This window comes from Homo sapiens, chromosome 7, assembly GCF_000001405.40.
Source record: "Homo sapiens chromosome 7, GRCh38.p14 Primary Assembly".
In the NCBI taxonomy this organism is placed as follows: Eukaryota; Metazoa; Chordata; class Mammalia; order Primates; family Hominidae; genus Homo; species Homo sapiens.
Genome location: NC_000007.14, coordinates 66,427,911 through 66,453,855, shown reverse-complemented (window position 1 = coordinate 66,453,855; position 25,945 = coordinate 66,427,911). Strand labels below are relative to the sequence as shown.

General features: G+C 41.0%; 3 pseudogenes; 2 read left to right on the top strand and 1 right to left on the bottom strand.

The window, feature by feature from the left end:
• RABGEF1P2 (RABGEF1 pseudogene 2) lies at positions 222–25,907 on the top strand (annotated as a pseudogene).
• Positions 18,599–19,323, top strand: GRPEL1P1 (GRPEL1 pseudogene 1; annotated as a pseudogene).
• LOC124901855 (uncharacterized) lies at positions 19,238–19,349 on the bottom strand (annotated as a pseudogene).

The window sequence follows — 25,945 nt, the reverse complement described above, 5'->3', positions numbered from 1 at the left end:
TTAATATGACTGTTTCAGGAATTTACCATAGTTAACTTTTCCTTTTTCCTTCTTCCTTCCTCCTCTCTTTCCCTCCCTCATTCCCTCCCTCCTTCATTCCCTTCTTCCCTCTCTTACAGCCTGAAGATAATGGAAGCACTCACTTTTTCTTCATAATTGCTAAGACTTTAGTTAGTAGAATGATAATTCCTTTTCAACAGCACTTTGTCATTTGTTCATTGGTTAGCAGTAAGAAGATGAGCCTTAAGTCTGAACGCTGAGGAATTCATGTGCATCAGTCGGACCTCCTGTGCAAGAAAGGATGTGGTTACTACGGCAACCCTGACTGGCAGGGTTTCTGCTCCAAGTGCTGGAGGGAAGAGTACCACAAAGCTAGGCAGAAGGAGATTCAGGAGGACTGGGAGCTGGCGGAGTGGTAAAAGGACTTAACTAGGGGCGGTTGAACAGTGGCGTGACTGGATACATACTTCTGTCACCATCCAAATACATTTTTTTAAATTTCTGCTTTGACCTATCAGCAAGTCAGTTTAAAATTAAGGAAAAGGATGTTTTCCCCTCTTCTTCTCAGTCAACCTTTAATGAACAGCTTTGAGTATTTTCTTCATTTTTTGTATGTCTTAACTTCTGATTATATTCTTTGGGTTATGTTAATCTTGGTTCTCAAATGTAGACAATAAGCTCCTTGGAATGGAAGAATGGAGATAGGCATATTTCCTGGTGAAGATTAAATGAGCTAATAAATATGATGTACCCAGTGCAGGGCTTGCAAATGGCACTCATCAAGCATTATTTCCCTCATTCTTTTAATATATTCAGCGTGGCATCTAGCTCAGTGATAAAACACAGTAGTAGAAATCTGTTGACTTGTATACATAGTCCTTGCATTATAGAAATTTAACTTTTCCTTAAAAATTAGGTTACTCAAAGGCAGTTTGTATTATCTGGAAATATAATGATGTTAAAAATTAAATAATGGGCCAGGCGCAGTGGCTCATGCCTGTAATCCTAGCACTTTGGGAGGCTGAGGTGGGAGGATCACCTGAGGTCAGGAGTTTGAGACCAGCCTGACCAATATGGTGAAACCCCATCTCTACTAAAAATATTTAAAAAGTTAGCCAGGCGTGGTGGTGTGCACTTGTTATCTCAGCTACTTGGGAGGCTGAGGCAGGAGAATTGCTTGCACCCAGGTATCGGAGGTTGCAGTGAGCTGAGACTGTGCCACTGCACTCCAGCCTGGGCGACAGGGTGAGACTCTGTCTCAAAAAAAAAAAAATTAAATGATGGGATGGCTACTGAGCATAGGAACTAATAAAATGCCATGAATAATGTTAATTCTTTGCCAGAGCATTTTAGAAATTCTAAAACTGCTTCAACAGAAGAAAGGCAAATGGAATTCTGCCAACTCTTCTTGCTAGTTTTTTTGTTTTTTCATCCAGTCAGCCAATATTTGTTGAGTGACTACTTTGCTGGCACCTGTGGTGAGCTCAGAGAATTAGAAATTACACATTGCTTTCAGTGACTGTGGTCATCAAAGAGAAAATTTTAGCCAAGAACATGAATGATCTCCTCAGGGTTTCCACTGCATGCCTGATGTTGTCAGTAGCAGATCCTGTTTCAAAAACAGAGTAGAGGCCACTAGGCACGAACTGCCTCAGCTTACTCCCTTCGCCACATAAAAATGTACTAATACCTTTATATTAACTTCTTGTCCGTCCCAGAGAAAGAAGTGTCCCGATTCCATACTCAGACTTAGCACCTCCCCTGTGATTTTTGTTTCTATTTCTTACTGCTTTTAATTGTGACCCTGCTAAATCTCTTGGAAAGCTTGTGAAAGCAGTGATTGCTGGACCTTACCCACAGAGTCTCTGATTTTAGTAGTTTGGGAGTAAGACTAGAGAATTTGCATTTCTAACAAGTTGCCTGGTGATGGTGCTGCTGCTGTCTGGGGAACCACGCTTGGAGAACCACTGTCTTATAGATAGTGCTTGAGTTTTTTGTTTTGTTTTGAGACAGGGTCTTGCTCTGTCACCCCGGCTGGAGTACAGTGGTGCAATCTCAACTCACTGCATCCTCTGCTTCCTAGGCTCAAGTGATCCTCCTGCTTCAGCCTCCCAAGTAGCTAGGACTACAGGAGCATGCCACCACGCCCAGCTAATTTTTGTATTTTATGAAGAGACAGGGTTTCACCATGTTTCCCAGGCTGGTCTCAAACTCCTGAGCTCAAGTGATTCGGCTGCCTTGGCCTCCCAGTGTGCTGGGATTACAGGCGTGAGCCACCGCACCCGGCCTGTTTTTGGGATTTATTACAGATGGTTCACATGCAGCTAATCCAAACCCAAATTTATTGCTTTTATTTATTATTCTCCGCATTCTGAACATTTTCCTCCTAACCCTTCTCCTGAGTCAATTAATGGCATCATTGTTTACCAAGTTAGCTAAAAAACCTTGGTTTCATTCTTGATTTCTCTTTAACCTCCCTTGGCACCTACAATTTGACCAAGTTCCATTTGTTCCAACTTAGAAAAGTCTTTTGCATTTTATCTTTGCTCCTCTTCTTTTCCAGGTATTTATTTTCTTTTACTTGAACCTTTATAATATACGCTTAATTCCTGTCCGTGTCTCTAGTTTCTCTATCCTTCAAGTTGTTCACATAGCTACCTGCATGATCTTTCTAAAGCACAGATCTGACAACAATAACTTTTTGGACTTGCAGTTTTTCTTGCTTCCCCACCACATGATGAAATCCAGAATAGGCTTAGCAATGGGCTTAGCAGGCAAGATTCCCTACCCTCTGGTGCCTTCCTGTGTATCCAGCATCACAGTTCATCACACGCCCAGTGCTCTGGCTACATTCAGTTTATTGTGAAGCAAACCACAGGCTTGCACATTTGTAGTTCCTTCTTCCTGGAATGTCCTTTCACTTAGAATCCTAATCATCCTTATCAGTCAGGCGTGGTGGTGTGTGCCTGTAGTCTCAATAACTTGGGAGGCTGAGGGATGAGAATTGCTTGAACTTGGGAGGCAGAGGTTGTAGTGAGCTGAGATCGTGCCATTACACTCCAGGCTGGGTGATGGAGTGACACTCTGTCTCAAAAAACAAACAAACAAAAAAAAACAGAAACAAAAAAGGATCCTATTTGTCCTTTAAGACTCACCCCAAACATCACCGTTGTAAAGCCTCATCAGACTCCTCCAGCAGATTGTGTTGTTCTTTCCTGTGTTCTCATAGCACTCAATTTTTACTCTCTGATGTAGCAGCTGTCCCATTATATAGCAGTTGTTTACTTACCTTTTTGTTTGTTCCAAGCTTGAGCTTGTTAGGGAAAAGGACTAGACTTTATTTATTTCACTGAGCTTGTTGGGGAAAAGGACTAGACTTGATTTCTTTCATGTAACCCTAGACCAGTTGCTGAATGAGCATGAGAAGATGCCATTTGAAATCTGTAGTGCATGAAGAGCCGTCCATCCTGTAGCTATGTGAGACCTCAGACTGATTTGGCGTATTTAGTCTCTAGTTCTAAAATCTTTAGATCCTCCTGAATTAATGGAGTAATAACCTTCAGATACAGAGAAATCTTGGAGAATATCTAGATCATTCTAATCCTCTCTTGAATTGCAGACTCCAGCGGGAGGAAGAAGAGGCCTTTGCCAGCAGTCAGAGCAGCCAAGGGGCCCAATCCCTCACATTCTCCAAGTTTGAAGGAAAGAAAACCAACGAGAAGACCCGCAAGATTACCACAGTGAAGAAATCTTCAGTACGTCTTCCAGGGTCGGATCAAAGAAGGGTAATGTTGTGATACTCTTTTTTTTCTTCTCTGCCTGAGTGAGACACAGAGGAGATCCCCAATGCTCATAGGCTCAGCTTTGTAATTTCTGTCAACTTTTTGAGATCATCAGCTCAGATTTGACACTGAAATTGGGCTTGAGGGTCAGACAATATATGAAACCAATACTCTCTTTAGTTGAAAGACATTGTGTTTTAGAGAAATTTGTTTACTCTGTAGGAGGAATAAAGAGAATTGAAATAGATAGTTTTGTTTATGAAATTCATCCCCATCCAAATGACTATCTCTTTGGATGTTTTGGTTTTTGTGCCTTTATTTGTGGATCCTGGTTTGTTCTGTGGTAATACCCTCACTGTTCATAGCTTGTCAGAAATGGTGATTTCTAGGCTTGAAAGTCATCTGAGAGAGAGATTTTCTGCCCGAGAGCTTATTTGAGAGACAGCTTGTGTCTTGAGAACATATAGGAAAAGGCCCACATTGGGCTCCTGGAGGGATGAAAGTGAGCCATAGTAGCTATTTTCCAGTGCATGGATTTGTATGTAGGTGATCATATTCACCTGGCTTCTTAAAATGCCATATGACCAGCAAGAAGATTGTCACTTAAGTCACAGTTGTTCTATAATTGAGCAGACAAGCCAGTTGAATGGCCCAACGTGAAGCAAGAAAGAATCTCTGTGGTTAGGCCTCGGTCTCTGAAAATTTATGTTGGTACTCAGTTATACAGTTAATGTGAAATGATGAGGGAGACTGGGAACCAACACTGATGCTGTCAGAAGACCTGTTCTCTGGGAGCCCCATCACTTGCTCCCCAGTTCCTACCCTGGGGTAATTGTAATGAGGTCTCCCCTGGAGGCAGGGGAATGAATAATAAGACACTGTTACCCTTAAGACCCTTGCCAGTCTTCTAGGTTTTGTGACTTTTGCTGTTTCCTTTTGTTTTATTATAAGGAAATAAAAGGAAATATTGCTTACCAAAAACACAGTTCTCTTTAAGACATTGATACCAGGTGCAGTGGCTCATGCCTGGTAATCTCAGCACTTTGGGAGGACACGATGGATGGATCACCTGAGCTCGGGAGTTTGAGACCAGCCTGGGCAACATGGTGAAATCCCATGTCTACAAAAAATACAAAAATTCCCTGGGCACAGTGGCATGATTACATGATTAATTTGAAGTTGTTTCTTGGTTGGCTGCCAGTTTTAGCTATTTTGTCTCTACTAAAAAGGGGAAAAAAATTAGCACCTGCCAGAGATTAAATAAGAATGTATTCAGCTTATGATTTATTTATTAGGAGGTGAAATTTTCAGGTGGTTAGTAAGGTGACTTTGGAGTCACTCTTGATTTGAGTCCTAGCTTTGTCATTTACCAGCTTTGTGACCCTGGGCGGACTAACCAAGTCTTGTCCACACTGAGGGACAGTAATACCTATCAGAGACATTTGATGAGGATTCAGTTAGTTGACATATGTAAAGAGCTTAGCACAGTGCCCGACACACACAGTAGATCTCCAGTAAGTGTTAGCTTTTTTAAAATGCAAGTTATTCTTCTGATAGAATAATCTTGCAGGGAGCTCAAGGCCATTTATTATTAAGTTCCTTCATTCCTATTTAGCTTAAAGTCTGTTTCTTGATGATATGTAGTGAAATGGTAAGTATGATAACAGATGAAATAGTAAAAAAAATCATCGAATTATCAGCTCTAATAGCCTCATTTTGCAGATGACAATATGAAAGTCCATAAAGGTTAACTAATTTACCCAAGGTTGAACGATGAGTTTGTGCATGAGAACTCAGGTTTCCTAACTCCTGGGTCAATATTTTTCCATTATATTCCTTTATTCAATGTGTATACTTCAGAAACCCAGGTTATTTAATGTATATAATAAATAGTAAATATATATATATAATCAAGTTTCTGTTACTTAAGTACATAATTGTCATTTATATTCGCTGACTCTCCTTGGTGGTTTTAAAAACCTGTGTCCCAAAAGCCTCTGTACAGTGTGCATGATACTATGGAAAGAAGATTTACAATTTAGTGCAGAGTCTGTACTTTAAAAAGAAACCATTCTCGAGTTGGGTGCAGTGGCTTGTACCTACCTATAATCCCAGCTACTTGGAAGACTAAGGTAGGAGGATTACATGAGCCCAGGAGTTAGTGGCTGCAGTGAGCTGTGATTGTGCCACTGTATTCCAGCCTAGGCAGCAGAGTGAGACACCATCTTTGAAAAAATTAATTAGTTAAAAAAAGAAACAATCCAAGTGACTTTTATTTTAAAAATGTGTATGCAGAATGGTTTTTACCTTTGTTCTTGTTTCTCCCCACCCCGCATCTTTTTGAATGGTAGATTTGTACTTTCTATTTTTTGTTCTTTAGTTGCTTTTTGTCAGTAGAAAGCTTTGGGGATAAAGATCTTAAAGTATTTGAAAATTTATGTTAGAAGAGAAGATTCCATTATGTCTTTGTTTCACAGATCACTTAATATAAGTTAGCCAGGTAAATTTTGCATTTCACACTGATTACTTGTTTGGCCATCGTGTTTGGATAAGGTTAGCCTAAGTGCAGTTTTAATGTATTGGGTCTAGACTAGAAACAGACTTTTTGGATTTTGTATTCTTGATCTTCTTTAGTCCGTGATGCCCTTGCTCTTGGTATTTTGCTTGTTTCTGTTAGTAACATAAAGGAAAGCTTTTCGCCATACACAGCAGCTTGGTAGCAGACAAAATACAAATAACCTTCTAAGGAATTTGAAGAATATTTTCACATTTTTTTAGAGTTGGATTCACTTTCAGAGAAAGTAAATGGAATGTCTTGACTGTAAAGACTCAGTTAAAGTGTTTTAGTCTCCACAGTCATGGTGAGTGAGCTGTATAGAGGAAGTCATAGTGGTTGGCCAAGCTGAGATCACTTGCTTATACATTCCAAAGTGCCCTTTTCTTTCAGAACTCCTATAATCTTGTCATCCCAAGTAGAATCTTGTGTACCTCTTTCACAAACAGATCTAAAGACAGTGATCCTCCAAAGCGTATCTTTTCTTTTTTAGAGTTAAAATACCAATACCACCCAGACCTTAGATTCTAAATAGTATTATTCATTAAAGTGAGCCAGGGCTTCTTAGAGAAATGACTGATTCTGGGGCTGGGGCAGGGAAAAAAAGGCCCCTTCAATATTTTGGTTACATTTCAGAAGATCTAGAAGCCAGCTTGGAGGGGTTTCCACTGGCCAAGTCTGGGATAATTTGAGTGTCAAAATAAACAAGGACAATAAGGCCGGGCACGGTGGCTCACACCTGTCATCCCAGCACTTTGGGAGGCCAAGTTAGGCAGATCACCTAAGGTCGGGAGTTCGAGACCAGCCTGGCCAACATGGTGCAACCGCATCTCTGTCTTTTTTTTTTTTTTTTTGGCACAACCCCATCTCTACTAAAAATACCAAATTAGTCAGGTGTGGAGGTGTGTGCCTGTAATCCCAGCTACTTGGGAGGCAGAGTCAGGAGAATGGCTTGAACCCAGGAGGTGGAGATTGCAGTGAGCTGAGATCGTGCCACTGCACTCCAGCCTGGGCAACAAGCGAGACTCCGTCTTAAAAAAAAAATAAAGTGAAGAAATCAATAAATAAGGACAATAAATGAAGTATAACTGAACAAAATAATAATCCGTGTGTTAATTTAACTAGTAAAATAGAGAAATACAGCTGGCACGGGGGCTCACGCCTGTAATCCCAGTACTTTGGGAGGCCGAGGTGGGTGGATCACCTTTGCTTGGGAGTTCGAGACCAGCCTGACCAACGTGGAGAAACCCGTCTTTACTAAAAAAATACAAAATTAGCCAGGCGTGGTGGCAGATGCCTGCAATCCCAGCTACTGGGAGTCTGAGGCAGGAGACTCGTTTCAATCCGGGAGGCGGAGGTTGTGCTGAGCCGAGATCATGCCATTGCACTCCAGCCGGGGCAACGAGCAAGACTCCATCTCAAAAATAAAAAAAAAATAAAAAAAAATAGAGAAATACACAAATGAGAGGTTATAGTCATGTTAGTAGCAAAAATTGATTCAGGTAAAGTTTATCTGGGTGCTAAATCTTGGATGAGGGGAGGGAGTTTCCCAGGAAACAAGTTACGAACATGATCTCAAATTCACTGCCAATGAATTATTTATGTGTTTATTTTTCTTTTTTTCCTTTTTTTGTGGAGACGGGAGGTGGGTCTCGCTGTGTTGCCCAGGCTGGTCTTGAACTCCTGGCCTCAAGTGATCCCACCACTGTAGCCTCAAAGTGCTGGGATTACAGGTGTGAACCACCATGCCCAGCCAGATTATTTATTAATTATAAATAGAGAAATGGTAACTATAAAATGGGGATGTAGGAGGCAAGGATAGATGTCATGTGTGCTTCCAGACATGACACTTTGAGAACACAACATCATTTATGAAATATCTAAGCCGAAAATTTTTAACAACCTGAATCCAGTCATGAGGACACCCAATCTAAATGGCATTCAACAAGATACCTGGCCTGTGTTCTTCAGAAGTGTCATGCTGAGAGAAACAAAGGTTGGGAAAATTGTGAACTGCTCATTGTGAACAATTGAGAAACTTGGAATATGGATTTTCAATTGAGTAAAAGTATTTTATCAATGTAAATTTTCCTGAATTTGGTAGCTATCCTGTAAGGTACATAAAACAATGGCTTAATCCCTTTGCATTGCTATAGAAGAATACCTGAGGCTGGGTTACTTATAAAGGAAAGAGGTTCATTTGGCTCACAGTTCTGCAGGCTGTGGAAGAAGCATGGAGACAGGCCAGGTTCAGAGGCTCACGCCCGTAATCCCAACACTTTGGGAGGCCGAGACAGGCAGATCACTTGAGTCCAGGAGTTGGAGACCAGCCTGGCCAACATGGCAAAACCCTGTCTCTATTGAAAATACAAAAATTGGCCAGGCATGGTGGCCCATGCCTGTAATCCCTACTACTTAGGAGGCTGAGGCAGGAGTATCACTTGAACCTGGAAGGCAGAGGTTGCAGTGAGCCGAGAATGCGCCGGTGTACTCCCGCCTGGGCTGCAGAGTGTGAGACTCCTCAAAAAAAAAAAAAAAAAAGAGAGAGATTGGGCAATGGAAGGCTTGATAATCATGGTCTACTTGCTATTCCTGAAATACAAGCTTTGTTTCTGTATTAAAAACATAAGGTGCAGCTTGGTCCAGTGGCTCATGCTTGTAATTCCAGCATTTTGGAGACTGAGGCAGGAGGATCGCTTGATCCCAAGAGTTCAAGACCAGCCTGGGTAACATAGTGAGATTCCATCTCTTAAAAATAATAATAATTAGCCGGGCTAGTGCCTGTAGCCCCATCTACTCTGGAGGCTGAGGTCGGAGGATCATTTGAGCCTGGGAGGTTGAGGCTGCAGTGAGCTGTGATCGTGCCACTGTATTCCAGCCTGGGTGACAGAGCGAGACCCTGATTAAAAAAACAAACAAACAAACAAACAAAAACGCAAGGTGACTTTAAGTTGAAGAGCAAGCACTTGCCATTTGAGCCCTAGCCAAAACTATGAACTGTAATGTGGGTGAGGTTGTTCTTTTCCATATTTCCTTCTTCTTCACTTCTTTCACCTTACACACTGAATCCCTATTGGCTGTTCAAACATAACTAACCTCCTCCCTGTGTACCAAACACCTGAACTGTCTCTCACTTTCCCCTCTCTAATCCAAACTTGTGGCCTCTTAATAGGGGTTGATTTTTAGGAAGCTTAGAGAAAAACAACAAAGTGTTGATTTTAGTAACTTGTATGGTCATAACTAGCTAATAGAATTAATCTTCATTTACATTTTAAAAGGAGATTTTTTTTCTTTTTTAAGCAAAAGTGTCCTTTGGAAAAGTATGTGTGGGAGGGAAGCATGTTGTAAGCAAAGCAATAAAGGAAATGAGTAGGGTTTTCCTGTCTTTGACTGGTGTACAGACCTCCAAAGTCAGAGGGATTGGTGTTATTCTAAAGAGTCTTCAGTCCTCTCTGGCTTACTGAGGTGTAGTTATAGCATAGTCAACAGCTCAGGGTTTGGATTTAAGTGCACAGACCTGGGTTCAAATTCCAGTCTTTATAAGTGACTGCAACATTATTCAAGTTACTTAACATATTCAAGCCTCAGCTTCCTCATTTGTAAATATCATAAGTGTACTACCTGATAGACTTGTGAAGATTATACAAAATAGCATTGTAAAAGTACCTAGTGCATAATAGACATTACCTATATGTAAGTTTATACTACCATTATTATTTTGTCAGATGGAATATGTATTATGTTTTTATTGGGTTGAGTGTTCTGTCAATGTCAGGTAGGTCAAGTTGGTTAATAACATCATTCAAGTTTTCTGTCTTTACTGACTTTTTAAAAATATCTCTCTGTCAATTACTAAGCGAGGATTATTGAAATCTCCAAATATCATTGTGAATTTGTTTCTCCTTTCAGTTCTATCAAATTTTGTTTTATGTGTTTTGAAACAGTGTTATTAGTATATACAAATTTAGGATTGCTGTGTTTTCTTGAAGAATTAACCCCTTTTTTATGATGAGATACCTCTCTGTGTTCTTGATAATATGGTCCATGTTCTTAAGTTTACTTTGTCTAACATTGGTATAACCACTTAAGCTCTATTTCATTGTTTCAGAGTATCCTCTTCCTTTCATTAGTTTTTAACATATTTGTATCTTTATATTTAAAGTAAATTTCTTACAGACAACATGAAGTGAGGTCTTGTTTTTTAATCTAATACGATAATCTCTGACATTTAATCAGACTGTTTATAGCATTTGTAATTAATGTGATTTTTGATAAGGGAAGTTTTACCCCTGTCATCTTGCTCTTTGTGTTTATCTCATCTTGTCTTAGTTCCTTTTCTCCTCTTTTCTTGCCTTCTTTATGACCACACCTTTACCTCCACTATCAGCTTGTTAGCTACACCTCTTTGTTCTGTTTTGTTTTGTTTGGTTTTTATTACCGGTTGTTCTGGGCTTTACAGAATACATCTTTAACTTACTTACCTTCAAGTAATATTTATACCACTTTACAGAAAAAAATTTTTTTAATAATAGTATTATACGACTTTACATATAAGAATCTTAAACAGGATTCTTATATTTCTTCCTCCCGTCCTTCGTGCTGTGGTTCTACATGCTACTTGGTGGTTCTTTCTCTCATCTTGGGTAGTTTCCTCATATGCATGTGTAGTACTCAGCCACACTCAAGGGAACCCTCTGCAGATACCTGGAGCTTTTTCTGTTAGCCCTCTCCCCTCCATAGCGTTTGCATGATATTTTGCCATGCAAATTCTGGTCACATTGGCCTCCCTGAACTCCAAATGCTATCTCCTCAATTCAGCAATTCAGCTAAGCTGTGTTTGAGTGGCCTCTCCCTGTGCCAAGACTTTAAAACTCTCCCAGCAGTGAGCTGGGACACTGTAGGACAGACTGTGTTTGTTTCCTGTCTTTCAGGAGTTAATCTGCTGTTTACCTGTCGTCCAATGTCTGAAAACCTTTCTTTCATATATTTGACGTTGCAGTTGTTAAGATAGTAGGGTAAACCTGATGCCATCAGATTATTCCGTCATGACTGGAAGTGGAATTATCTGACAGAGAAGGATTTTTGATAAAGATTTTTTTCCTAATCATACAGATGTCAGCACAATCTTTGGTTTTTTATTTACATAAAAAATATTTTAGAAAAGATGTTGCTCTTTTTGTTTTGAATTAGATTGTACCTGATTTATTTATGTGCTTAAAAAAATAGGTAGTATATCCAAATGACTCAAACGTAACAGATACGGTTAGAAGTTTCCTTTCTACTTTGTCTCTCGCCCATCTAGTTCCTAAGTACCACTGCTATTGTTCCCCTACTTTCTTTTTTTTTGAGATGGAGTCTGTCTCTGTCACCCAGGCTGGAGTGCAGTGGCGCGATCTCGGCTCACTGCAAGCTCCGCCTCCCGGGTTCATGCCATTCTCCTGCCTCAGCCTCCCGAGTAGCTGGGACCACAGGCGCCTGCCACCACACCCAGCTAATTTTTTGTATGTTTAGTAGAGACGGGGTTTCACCGTGTTAGCCAGGATGGTCTTGATCTCCTGACCTCGTGATCCGCCCACCTCGGCCTCCCAGAGTGCTGGAATTACAGGCGTGCGCCACCGCGTCCCGCCTATTGTTCCCCTACTTTCCCAGAACTTTTGTTATTAGTTTCTTGTGTATCCTCTTTCTGTGCTTTTATTCTAATTTATAAAAACGTATATTCTTACCCCACTACCCCGTTTTATATAAAACATAGCACAGTGTACATACCTTACTTTTTTTTTTTTTTTTTTTTGAGACCAGGTCTCACTCTGTCACCCAGGCTGGAGTGCAGTCAAACTCCTGGGCTCAAGCGATCCTTCTGCCTCAGCCCCTCCAAATAGCTGGCACTATAGGTACGCACTACCATGCCTGGCTAATGTTTTTACTTTTTGTAGAGAGCGCATCTCACTATGTTGCTAATTTATGTTTTTGCTTCCAATACATTTATGAGCTCTTTCCATATCAGTACACAAGAAGCATACTTTTTAATTTTAAAACCCTATGGCATTTTATTTTATGGATTAAAGGATAATTTATTTAGTCCCTCAGTGATGGCCAGTTATTTCCAGTCTTTTGCTATTACCAGTAATGCTAAAATGTACATATTTCATTTGGTACATGTAAGATTTTATTAGTAGAAAATTTTGGAGAAATAGAAATGTTAGGCCAGGCACAGTAACTCACACCTGTAATCCCAGCACTTTAGGAGGCCGAGGCTGGTGGATCACCTGAGGTCGGGAGTTCAAGACCAGCCTGACCAACATGGAGAAACCCCTTCTCTATTAAATATACACAATTAGCCAGGCGTGGTGGCACATGCCTGTAGTCCCAGCTACTCGGGAGGCTGAGGCAGGAGAATCGCTTGATCCCAGGAGGTGGAGGTTGTTAACTGAGATCGCGCCATTGCACTCCAGTGTAGGCAACAAGAGTGAAATTCCGTCTCAAAAAAAAAAACAAAAAACTCCTGAAGATCAAAGATTATAAGGAATTACTCTGAGAGCGAGACGCAGTGTTTTGTACCTGTAATTCCAGCACTTTGGGAGGCTGAGATAGGAGGATCATCTGAGGTTAGGAGTTTGAGACCAGCCTGGTCAACATGGTGAAACCCTGTCTCTACTAAAATACAAAATTATCTGGGCGTGGTGGGGCATGCCTGTAATCCTAGCTACTTGAGAGACTGAGGCAGGAGAATCATTTGAACCTGGGAGGCAGATGTTGCAGTGAGCTGAGATCCACTGCGCTCCAGCGTGGGTGACAGAGTGAGAATCCGTCTCAAAAAAAAAAAAAATTTAAGAAACTGTAGAATAGGTAGGTTAATATCTTTAAAACATACTTTCTGGCCAGATGCGGTGGCTCACGCCTGTAATCCCAGCATTTTGGGAGGCTGAGGCGGGCGGATCACCTGAGGTCAGGTGTTCGAGACTAGCCTGACCAACATGGCGAAACCCCATCTCTACTAAAAATACATAAAATAGCTGGGCATGATGGCACATGCCTGTAGTCCCAGCTACTTGGGAGGCTGAGGCAGGAGAATCGCTTGAACCCAGGAGGTGGAGGTTGCAGTGAGCCGACATCACACCACTGCACTCTAGCCTGGCGACAGAGCGAGACTCCGTCTCAAAAACAAAAAAAAAATACAAGAATTAGCTGGGTGTGGTGGCACTCGCATGTAATTGCAGCTAGTTGGAGACTGAGCCAGGAGAATCGCTTGAACCTAGGAGGCAGAGGTTGCAGTGAGCTAAAGTCTTGCCACTGCACTCTGGCCTGGGTGACAGAGCAGTACTCTGTCTCAAAAAAAAAAAAAAAATCAAATAAAACATACCTTTTTAAAAAATTATTTTTAGGAAATCATTGGGATATGGGGAACTTAAATTCCTTATAAACATTAGAGAGCATAGTTCAAAATCAGGAGGCTTAGAATGTGGTCAGAGACCAAGTGGTAGTTCATACTTTCTGAAAGCACTTACTGCCTGTTACAACATCCTTATCTCTCTTGTGTAAATGTTCCATTTTCCTTTCAGTGTGTTTATTTGAAGAGGGGAAAGAATTGTCTGCCCAGCCGGTGGGATAGTGTAGTGCATGTTTCCCTTGTCTCTTCATTTTATGCTTTGTCGTGTTCATCTTGCTATTAATACTTTGGATGCGTTCTTTCACTTTGATCAGTATGACTCACCAACGAAATGGTGGGTAAATAATTGTGAGTCTCCACATAAACACATTAACCTTTGCCTTTTTGTTAAGTAAAATGGGATTTGGAAAGGTTGTCTGACATTTATAAGTACCTAACATTTCAGTGCTTCTATTGATTGTTATTCTATTTGTTGACTAGTTTTATAAACTCCAGCAGTCTTTGAGAAGCCTAGTGGTGCCATTTCAGTGTTCATGATTGAATAGATAGATCAAAGCATGATAGATTTTGGCAAAGAAAATACTAATAGAACAACTTTTATTTCAGTAGGAATATCTTTTAGATAATGTAGTTTTGTCTACTCATACTTTCTACTTGTAAAACAGATTTAGTTTAAGGGAAGTTGTCCAACCACTCAAACATAAAATGATTTAAATTCAAGTTTAACTTTGATGAAACATAATTTAAATAACCTTAGGTAAGATACTTAAAGTAATTCCATGCATGGATCTTTTATGTCTTGAAACTTACTATGTTTAATTTTCCCAGCTGAAATTCAGGAAGCAAAAGCTCCCAGTCCTTCCATAAACCGGCAAACCAGCATTGAAATGGATAGAGTGTCTAAGGAGTTCATAGAATTTCTCAAGACCTTCTGCAAGACAGGCCAAGAAATCTATAAACTGACCAAGCTGTTTTTGGAAGGGATGCATTACAAAAGGGTAGGTTGAGAATAATCACATAGAAACATAGAGTTTTGGTTTGAGGAAAGGTCTTAGAGATAATATAGTGCAACCTTGTCATTTTATGCCTGAGAAAATCAAGACCAAGAGATGTTAAATTACTTACCTAAGAAAAGCCTCTGAATCAAGCTAAAACCCAACTCTTAGGCTAGTACTTTTCCACTGCAACTCAGTGGTGTTTGAATCATCTTTGTGTGGAAATTCTGACCTTGAAGCCACTTGAATTATGTGCTTTAGTAACAGGCCTTTTTGACTTGTGACCTTGTAAATAGTATAAACTGCCATAGTAGACCTTTAACTCTGTGCAACCATTGTTAGGCCAGTGGCAGTAATTTTAAGGGTTGTTGTTGTTGAATTCTGTTTTGTTTTTTGTATTTTGATTTTGAATTTTTTCATTCAGTTAGAGAAAGGACAGATAGAATTTAGACAAGAAAGGGACTTTAGCAGCTATGGAGTTTCAGTCCCTTTATTTTATAGATGAGGAAGTTGAGAGCCCAAGAGGATAAGTGACTTGTCCAGGTTACACAGCTAGATTTTGCCAATGTCAAGTAGTTGTGACTTCCACACCTGTTTCTTTTATCCATAATTTCTGACCCATAATTTCAGTGGCAATAATTCATGAGACTCCCTGTAAAGGAAATCATTTTGTAAATAGGGATTAATTCTGTTGTAACATTCTATAACCATTAAACTCAGAATTAGCTCCAAAAGTTCCTTCTATGCAGTAAGGAAGTCTTAGAAAGAAAAAGGAAATTAGAAAAGCAGCAGGGTGTTTAACTGTTTAGCTATATTCTAGCTGGGGTCAGCAATCACTAGGCTAATAAGCAGTGGACTTGTGTTGAAATAATTTTTAGATATTGAATTCAGTTTGTAAAGGAGAAAAGCTTGCTTTCTTGCCCTTCAGAAATGTAATTAGACTGTGTAAGTAAGTAGCTGTCTTTCTCTAGATATTTTTTCTCTCTAGAGTAAAATATTTGGAGTTAAAACAAGTGAGCTGTTATTGATTTTTTTTTTTAAGTTAGGAACCATGATAGATATCTTAATGTGGAAAAATTCGGAGTTCATGTGACATACATCTTTCATTTTTATCAGAACTAAAAACTGAGGTTTTGTATTTATTCTTGAGCCCACCTGAAATGTTGACGGGATAGCTATACTAACTTAGAATATGTATACTGTAGTACTTAAGCATATATGCTGTATAATAATATGTTTTAGAAAATTGCTCAACTTGGATTTGATGTTTTTCTTTTGCTCAGAAGTGTGATGTGTTCTTGTTCTGTAATAATTTAGTAGACTTCTAAATTAGTGTACTAAAGTAAAGAGGTAATTAACTGGTACAAATATCACCATGTTTATTTGTAAGGCATCACTAGTTTATATCAGAGACCTGGATATGGCCTCAGATTTCTCCTGTTTTAAGAGCCACTAAGCCACCTATTTTCCATTTCTACACTACGTGTTTCATGGTTAGGTGGCCAAGTCCTATGCATGTATCTCAGGTATCTTTAGTGACCAACATGAAGTCTGCACATATTGTATATGAAAGAAATGTTTTTTAAACTGGATGTCCCTAGAGAAGCCCTTTTGGCCTTTGGCTGCAAGTTAATGTCCTTTGAAATAAATAAATAAACACTCTTTACACCTGAACTAACCTAACTAACTTCAGATCAGTAATCATATAAATTTCTTGGGGCAGTTCCTCTGACGTTGTGAAGAATGTGGTAGTATAAAATAGCCTTTGTACTCAGTTTATCAAAACTGCTCAAAAACTTTAAATTCATGTTATTCCCACCAACTAAACTTTCTAGATGGCATCCTAAGGGCCTATGCAATATGAGAATTCATTCTTACCTGTTTAAAAACTGCCCAGGCAGCCTTGCCATAAACGGATAATTGTTCCTACTGGATCCCACAGTATTATGCTTTCTAAAATTTCTGAGATCCAGAAGACTGATCTGCTCTTGCCCACATGTTTTCCCACATAATTTCTGTTTTCACCAATCCCAGTATATGCCGGCGGTGAGCAGCCTTTTCAGCATATGGGTCAAGTCTAGAAAATTAAATCTTTTCCGAACTGCATTAAAATTTTTAAGCCATTTTATCTTTATCAAGAAACACTTTATCTACACTTACATGTTTTTTGTTTTTAGAGTTTAAATTTCAGCACCTACATAATTTTCATACCCACTGCAATATTTCCATGTAATGCTTTACTATGCAACACATCTCTCTTTCTTTCTTTCCTTTCCTTCCTTCCTTTCTTTTTTTGAAGCAGGGTGTTACTCTGTCTTCTAGACTGGAGCCCAATGGCATAGTCACAGCTCACCGCAGGCTTGACCTCCCAGACTCAAGTGATCCTCCTGCCTTAGTCTCCTGAGTAGCTGGGACTATAGGCGCACACCACCATGTCTGACTGAGTTTTTTAGTTTTTGTGGAGACGGGGTCTCCCTATGTTGCCCAGGCTAGTCTTGAACTCCTGAATTACAAGTGATCCTCCCAACTTGGCCTCCCAAAGAGCTGAGATTACAGGTGTGAGCCACCGCACCTAGTGCTATTCAGCAAATACTGTTGTTTGCTAATACTTTTCTGTAGCTTATTTTGCTCTGTTTTCTTTCTTGCTATTCTTAGTAGCTATTTAATGTTAAAACATGCATACTCTTATAGTACCTCTATAGGTCCTTTAAACAAGATATTTCTATTGCAAATGAGACAGGCAACTATGTCATTTACACAAAATCCTTTTATGTTGAACATACGGTTGTCACCAGCTACTTTTCTGTTCTTACAAATCATCATAGCAAGAATTTAAATTGATGAGCCAAATTAATAAAGCTTAATTTTTAAATTTTTAAATTTTAAAACCTAGTATGTACAACATAACTTGAATAATAAAAATAATAATTATTATTAAAATGGGCTGGGGTGCCCATTTTTTGGGTTTCTCAATTCAGTTATTTTTATTTTTTTAATTTTTATTAATCCCTTAATACTCCATTCATGGCAATCAATTCAGTTTCTACACCAAGACTTCTTAATAGTCATTCTGATAAGCTCTTTTTTCTCAGGAAGCAGTTAAGCACAACATAACACCTTTTGCTTGTTTCATTGGTCTTTTTCTAGCCAGTCCTTCTGTAAAAATCTGATACTGAGCCAGGCATGGTGGCTCATGCCTGTAATCCCAGCACTTTGGGAGGCCAAGGCAGGTGGATCGCCTGAGGTCAGGAGTTCGAGACCAGCCCTTGCCAGCATTGTGAAACCCTGTCTCTACTAGAAATACAAAAAATTAGCTGGGCGTGGTGGCAAGCGCCTGTCATCCCAGCTACTAGGGAGGCTGAGGCGGGAGAATCACTTGAACCTGGGAGGCGAAGGTTGCAGGTAGCCGAGATTGCACCATTGCACTCCAGCCTTGGCAACAGGAGCAAAAAAACTCTGTCTCAAAAAAAAAAAATGAGATACTGATTATATGTTATGTACTTAAAGCCTTGTACCTGAATGAGGACAAAAAATACACAGTTTAAGACATGGCTATATCTTCATTTCCATGATCTTTCCCAGAATAAGTAGAAAGATAGGTGTCCTTCTATATTTTAAAATCACTCCATTCTTCTAAACTATATATTTATGCAAGGATTAATTTGCCCTGCTGTGTAATTACTATAAGAAGAACAGAAGTATGTATCCAAAACATACTTTAACCAGCAAATAGGCTTATTGTGAGAACTTCAGCAGGGCTAGCAACCCAGGACCTAAGTTTAAAACTAGAAGCACTGAGGATGAGAAGTGAGGCAGTGGAAATAGCTCTGAGCTCTCAGCATCTGTAAGTCTTAAGGAAGAAAAGTAGATGAAAGATGTATTTGATAATTACGCTGAAGGAATAAAAATAATTAAAAACGTGTCATAGAGGCATATAGTGATAGGCGAGGGGAAACTTAAATCATCAACCTGGAGCAGCCGTGGCAGCTCCATGCGTGAGGCTGGTGCCACACAGTATCCCGGTGTTGGCATTGTCTCCAGGCCTTCTCTGTTCCGCACGCAGTTACAAAACAAAAGAACAGTTGCCAGCAGTTGGAAGAGGATGTGGATCCAAACCAAATGGGGGACAGATACTCCCTCTATGGACAAGATACTCATGGAAGAAGTCAAGTTAGAAGAGCAACTGAAGGAGGTTGTGGAAGAAGATAAGCAAGCATTGGCAGATACTGAGGGCTTGCAGCAGAGCAGCCAAAAATTGGTGGAGGAGGCAAATATGTGTAGCATTCAGGGCTTCTGCAAGGACTCGTTAGAGGTTGCAGATGTTTTGGAGAAGGCAACACAGTGTGTTCCAGAAGAAGAAATTAAAGACAATAACCATCACCTGAAGAACCTCTGTGAAACTCTCACAATGAGTGAAGGTCAGATTCAGGAAGTGTTCAGCAAGCACCACCAAGCTGAACCCTGTCAGAGCCAAGTTCCACCGTTATGTGCATGAGGGTCTTTTTTTTGTCTTTCTTCACATCCGACAGGCAATGTGCCAGTGCTGTAACAAGGTTTGAGCAAGGCATATCTCACACATGAAAACCCAGTGTGAAAACCTAGTCATCACACTCCCAGTGCTTTGGGAGGCTGAGGCAGGTGGATCACTTGAGGTCAAGAGTTACAGACCAGCCTGGCCCACATGGCGAAACTCTGTGTCTACTAAAAATACAAAAATTAGCCAGGCGTGGTGGCGTACGCCTGTAGTCCCAGCTACTCGGAGACTGAGGCAGGGGAATTGCTTTAACCTGGGAGGCGGAGGTTTCAGTGAGCCAAGTTTGCACCACCGCACTCCAGCCTGGGCAACAGAGTGAGACTCCGTCTCAAAAAAAAAAAAATACTTTGCAGGTCAGTATAAACACTTAAAATATCATTTGAATCACTGTGTTACATTATTTATTATAGAAAAAGAGGGAAACAAATATACCATATGTTTTTTTTTTGTGTGAGGGGGTAAAAAGCAAGAATTTGTGAAGCGGGGATGTTTCCAAATCCAGCAGAGTTTTTAATATATTCTAAAATGAAAGTCATCACACCTAGATGAGATTTGGGTAAAAAATGAAAATACGGAACAGTGAAATCAGCCAGAGATTTCAGAAATAGATTTAATTTCTCAGGAGCAAGTTACATGACACCTGGAGGACGAGGGGGAACAAGGTTGTGCTTTACTAACTGCTGATGGTGATGACAGATACACTTGTATAGAGTTTTAGTTCTGTTTCATACCATGCACCTTACATTCCAGCCAAATCAAAGAGCTAAACATGAAAAAATTGAGAAGAAAGTAGATTAGGATATGAGCTGGGTATGGTGGCTCATGCCTATAATCCCATCACTTTGGGAGGCCAAGGCAGCCAGATGAGTAGAGGCTAGGAGTTTCAGACCAGCCTGGTCAACATGGGGAAACTCCATCACTACTAAAAATACAAAAACTGGAGTTTGAGACCAGCCTGGTCAACATGGGGAAACTCCATCACTACTAAAAATACAAAAATTATCTGAGCGTTGTAGCAGGTGCCTGTAATCCTAGCTACTCAGGAGGCTGAGGCAGGAGAATCACTTGAACCCGGAGGTGGAGGTTGCACTGAGCCAAGATCACACCATTGCACTCCAGCCTGAGCAAGAGAGCAAGACTGTCTCAAAAAAATAAAAAAATAAAATATTAGCTTGGGCGTGGTGGTTCATGCTTGTAATTCCAGCTACTTGGGAGGCTGAGGCAGGAGAATCGCTTGAACCAGGGAGGCAGAGGTTACAATGAGATCACACCACTGCAGCCTGTGTGAGAGAGCGAGACTCCATCTCGGGGAAAAAAAAAAAAGAAAAAAATATATGAACGGTACCTTAGGATACGTATTTCAGCTGTAGAGAGGAGCAAAAATTGAACCATCAAAAAATTGTTTTACCTGGGCACGGTGGCTCACACCTGTAATCCTAGCACTTTTAGAGGTCAAGGCAGGAGGATCACTTAAGCCCAGGAGTTTGAGACGAGACTGGGCAACATAGTGAGACCTTGTTTCTATATATTAAAAAAAAAAAAAAAGAGAAATAAAATTAAAAACTTACAAGAAATTTGTTTGTTTTTGAGACAGAGTGTTGCTCTGCCGCCCAGGCTGGAGTGCAATGGCATGATCTTGGCTGACTGCAACCTCCACCTCCCGGGTTCAAGCAATTCTCCTGCCTCAGCCTCCCAAGTATCTGGATTACAGGTGTGCAGTAGCATGCCCAGCTAATTTTTGTATTTTTAGTAGAGACGGGTTTTGCCATGTTGGCCAGGCTGGTCTTGAACTCCTGACCTAAGGTGATCCGTCCGCCTCGGCCTCCCAAAGTGCTGGGATTACAGGCGTGAGCCACTGCACCCAGCCAAAAGAATTGTTTTTAATGACCAGATAAAAGGCTTAATAGTATTAACTTTTTAAAAATCTGTGCAATAAAAAATAAAACATGGGAAGTCATGAATATAAATAAGAGCTTCATATAGTGAAATATCTAAACTTTACTAAAGGTAGCACCTAGGCTTTTATAGTTGAGGGATCAATTTTAATTCAACCAAATGGCATGTATATGGGTAACTAGTTGACAGTGATTAGGGCTGCAGTCAAGGTGATCCCATGACTTGTGATCACCATGATCACATGTGTGCTTGAGTGCTTGGCCATTTTCACTGAGGGAATGAGGTGACTGCCCCTGACCCCCAGTGTCCTGCCTTCCTTTTAGAGTTAAGCCAGATGGTCGACTGCTGCAGGCTTCCACAGGATGTATCGGTGCTTGGCGTGTGAGGTCAGTGGCCTGTGTAGATGAGGTCTGTGACAGCCAGTCCTGGGGGTTTGTTCTCAGCCTTATTCATGTTCTTCTACTGTGACATCCTTGTGAGAACCATTGGGAGAAATTTTTGATTTTGGTGTCAGAATTTCACCTGAAGAATTTGTTTGCTTTCATCTTTTTTTTTTTTAAGTTTTTTTTTCTTTTATTATTATACTTTAAGTTTTAGGGTACATGTGCACATTGTGCAGGTTAGTTACATATGTATACATGTGCCATGCTGGTGCGCTGCACCCACTAACTTGTCATCTAGCATTAGGTATATCTCCCAATGCTATCCCTCCCCCCTCCCCCCACCCCACAACAGTCCCCAGAGTGTGATGTTCCCCTTCCTGTGTCCATGTGATCTCATTGTTCAATTCCCACCTATGAGTGAGAATATGCAGTGTTTGGTTTTTTGTTCTTGCGATAGTTTACTGAGAATGATGATTTCCAATTTCATCCATGTCCCTACAAAGGACATGAACTCATCAAACTGCATCAACTAACGAGCAAAATAACCAGCTAACATCATAATGACAGGATCAAATTCACACATAACAATATTAACTTTAAATGTAAATGGACTAAATGCTCCAATTAAAAAACACCATGCTTTCATCTTTTGAACCCTGAATTACGTAACTGTTTTCATCTTAATGATGATTGCTAAGAAGTTTAGTTAGAGACAGATGTATGGGCTGACTCTTGACTAATTTAGACATCTTCCAGGAAAACATTTCTGTCTTGTCATTTAGGTCTCTCTCCATGTGTGATTTTTTTTTTTTTTTTTTTTTTTGAGATGGAGTCTCTCTGTGTTGCCCAGGCTGGAGTGCAGTGGTGCAATCTCGGCTCACTGCAAGCTCCGCCTCCCAGGTTTACACCATTCTCCCACCTCAGCCCCCTGAGTAGCTGGGACTACAGGTGCCCGCCACCACACCCGGATACTTTTGTTTTTGTATTTTTCGTATAGACTGAGTTTCACCATGTTGGCCAGGATGGTCTCCATCTCCTGACCTTGTGATCTGCCCACCTTGGCCTCCCAAAGTGTTGGGATTACAGACGTGAGCCACCAAGCCCGGCCTAAAATTTTAAAAAAATTTTTAAAATTATCTTTCTTTTCTTTTCTTTTCCTTTTCTTTTCTTTTCTTTCTTGAGATGGGTTCTCACTATGTTGCCCAGGCTGGTCTCAAACTCCTAGGCTCAATCGATCCTCTAGCTGCAGCCTCCCAGAGCACTGGGATTACAGTTATTTGTTACTCTTTTTATTTTCTAGTCCGTTGTGCTGAACTGCATTTATCTTTTAAATAGACTTTAAATATTCTTTGGCAGAAAGTGAGGAATAAATGCATATATTCTATGTATAAAATCAGTAAAACCAAATACAAATTATCAAGCCCACTGTTGTAAGGGCCATAGGGAAATAAGCGCATACACGTGGTTAATGACAGTGTGCACTGAGTTTCCGAGGAGTGTGGCTAGCAATAGATACTTAGTGCTGTAACGGTGTTTATTCTTATTAAGTGGTTAATGCCACTTTTGGAAATGTATCACAGAGAATTTAACTCAGAAGAAGATAGTCCTTACAAAATTATTTATTGCTACAGTGCACAACAATGAAAGAGGGGAAGCAACCCAAATGCACAGCGGTAGAGGAGAGTTGAATAAGTCAGTTAATATAATGCAATGCTATAAAGCCACCAAAAATGTTTGGTGGGTTAGATAAATAGAAGTGTCCATAAAATATGTAAATTATCAAAACATGCATTAAATCTATTTAAGAGTATGTAGATATAGCAAAAAGAATGAGATGGTCATGGTGAGACACCACTAGGTAGGAAGGGGTCCCCAGAAAAACTCCAGCTGGCCTGTGCACTGGGGTGGAACTTGAAGTTTGCACCGTTGATAGCGGGGAGGAGCCTGGCACCTCTTCTTACTGTGTAAAACCCATTATTCTAGCTGCTGGCAGAAAGCACTCTAGCAGGGACTCTGGCCTTGTGAGAGTCCCAATAAAACCCTGCCTTACTCACCATTCAAACCGTCTGTAAGCCTAAATTTTTGTGGCCTTGAGACGGACAAGGACCCCGTCCTTAGCTGAACTAAGGAAAAATCCTGCAACAGTGGATACTGGAAATAATGTTAATGGATGGGTTTTACTCTCCTGAAGGATTAATATAATCTGTGAGTACTTTTATGCTTACTGCCAGTACAAGGAGTGGCTTACTTACTATCAGTACAAGGAGTATATATACTCTCTTGAGCTTTTCTGTTTGGCTATTTCAGTGCCTCCAGAATGAGTTGAGAAGATAAATGGATCAGATTGAAAAGTACATCATGACTCATCTCTATAAATATGTGTTCTGTCCAGAAACTACTGATGATGAGATGAAAGATCTTGCCATTCAAAAGAGGATCAGGTAGTTGCTTATTTTGTTTTGCTTTATGCTTACTACCTACTGATGGAAGAACATATTGGGGGAAAATAAGGCATCTGAGTTTCAAACCTTAAGAGAAAGCAACAGCTCATGTTTCTGCTTCCTTAGAGTGGAAGCTGCTCTGTGGTGTCAGAAAGACAAGGAATGTGGTGACCTCACCTATCCATCTCCCTCAAGGCAGCTTTTGGTAAGTCGTGTTTGGTGTTTGAGATTGTTTTCAATCTCTGAACTCTCCAAGGAACAGGGGGACTGTGTTCTTGGTCCATTACCATTTCCTCAAGCAGGAAGCTGTGAATATCCGTATCAAGGCAGGGGATGTCGGCTGGGCCCGGTGGCTCATACCTGTAATCCCAGCACTTTGGGAGGCTGAGGTGGGTGGATCACTTGAGGCCAGGAGTTCAAGAGTAGCCCGGGCAACATGGTAAAACCCCGTCTCTACTAAAAATACAAAAATTAGCCAGGCATGGTGGCACACGCCTGTGCTTCTAGCTATTTGGGAGGCTAAGGCACGAGAATGGCTTGAATCCAGAAGGCGGAGGTTGCAGTGAAGCGAGATCGTGCCACCACACTCCAGCCTGGGCAACAGAGCAAGACTCCTTCTCAAAAAAATAACAAGTCAGTGGATGTCCTCTTTCCTCATTCCTCCCAGTGGTGTGCATTTTTCACCATTCCCCAGTCACATCTTTCACTAGCATTGGATTGATGACATTTCCCACAGCACCCAGTCTTCCAGGCTCACTGGGGTGAACCCCAGCACTGTGTACTCCAGTTGCGGTGGACACTGAGGAAGAGACCACCCAAGTGTGGGAACAGGGCCAAGGCTGAGCTGATGAGTTGTTCTAAGAGGAGAGGGGACTCGGAGTCCCAGGTTCCAGACAAGGGGCTGGTACTTGCTAGATCTGTATTGGAAGTTTCACAGCTGAAGTGAGGAGTTGATACTGGGCAGGCTGAAGTTGTGGAGCCCAAGGTCAGGAGCCAGAAGTAACCAGAGGGGCCCTGGACCAAGATGCAGAAGGAAAGCAGTAACCAAGCAAGAGGGGAGGCCTGCAGCAGGGTAGTTGGAGTGCAGTTAGGGTGGGACCAGGAAACACACAGTGATTCAGGTATGGTGATCCTGCCTGTGGCGTCCTACGCGAGCTCCAGTGTGCCTTAGAAATTGAGGGCTGAGGCCAGGTGTGGTGGCTCACACCTGTAATCCCAGCACTTTGGGAGGCCAAGGCAGGTAGGTCACCTGAGGTCAGGAGTTCAAGACCAGCCTGGCCAACAGGGTGAAACCCCGTCTCTAGTAAAAATACAAAAATTAGCTGAGCTTGATTGTGGACGCCTGTAGTCCTGGCTACTCGGGAAGCTCAGGCAGGAGAATTGCTTCAGCCTGTGAGGCAGAGGCTGCAGTGAGCCAAGATCATGCCACTGCACTCCATCCTGGGCAACAGAGTGAGACTCCATCCCCCACAAAAAAAGTAGTTGAGGACTGAGTGTAAAAGGACATTAACACAGTAGACAGTGAGGACAGGCAGCAGCCAATTCTCAAATCGTCACTTTCAAATACCGAGTGCATTTCAGTCTTGGTAGCACTGTGTAACGTCACTTCAGTCAGCAAATGGCCTTCCATTCTTGTGATAAGTACAGAAGAGAAGTCTCATTTTAGGATCCTAGCTGCTTTGTCATGTCATTTGACCTAGTACTTCGAAAGGTGATGTGTGTGGGCCTGGGATTGTCTGAGTGGTCAGTGATGCCTCAGGCTTTCCCTAAACTGAAGGAGGTGACAAGACGAATGGTCACGGTTTGTCCTTGGAGCTCTTGTTTACTGTCTCTCTCCCTTTAGAGCCCTTCACTGGGTTACACCTCAGATGCTGTGTGTCCCTGTTAATGAAGACATCCCAGAAGTGTCTGATACGGTGTTGAAGGCAATCACAGGTCAGTGAAACCAAGAGCCTTTTTATTGGGATGTTTTC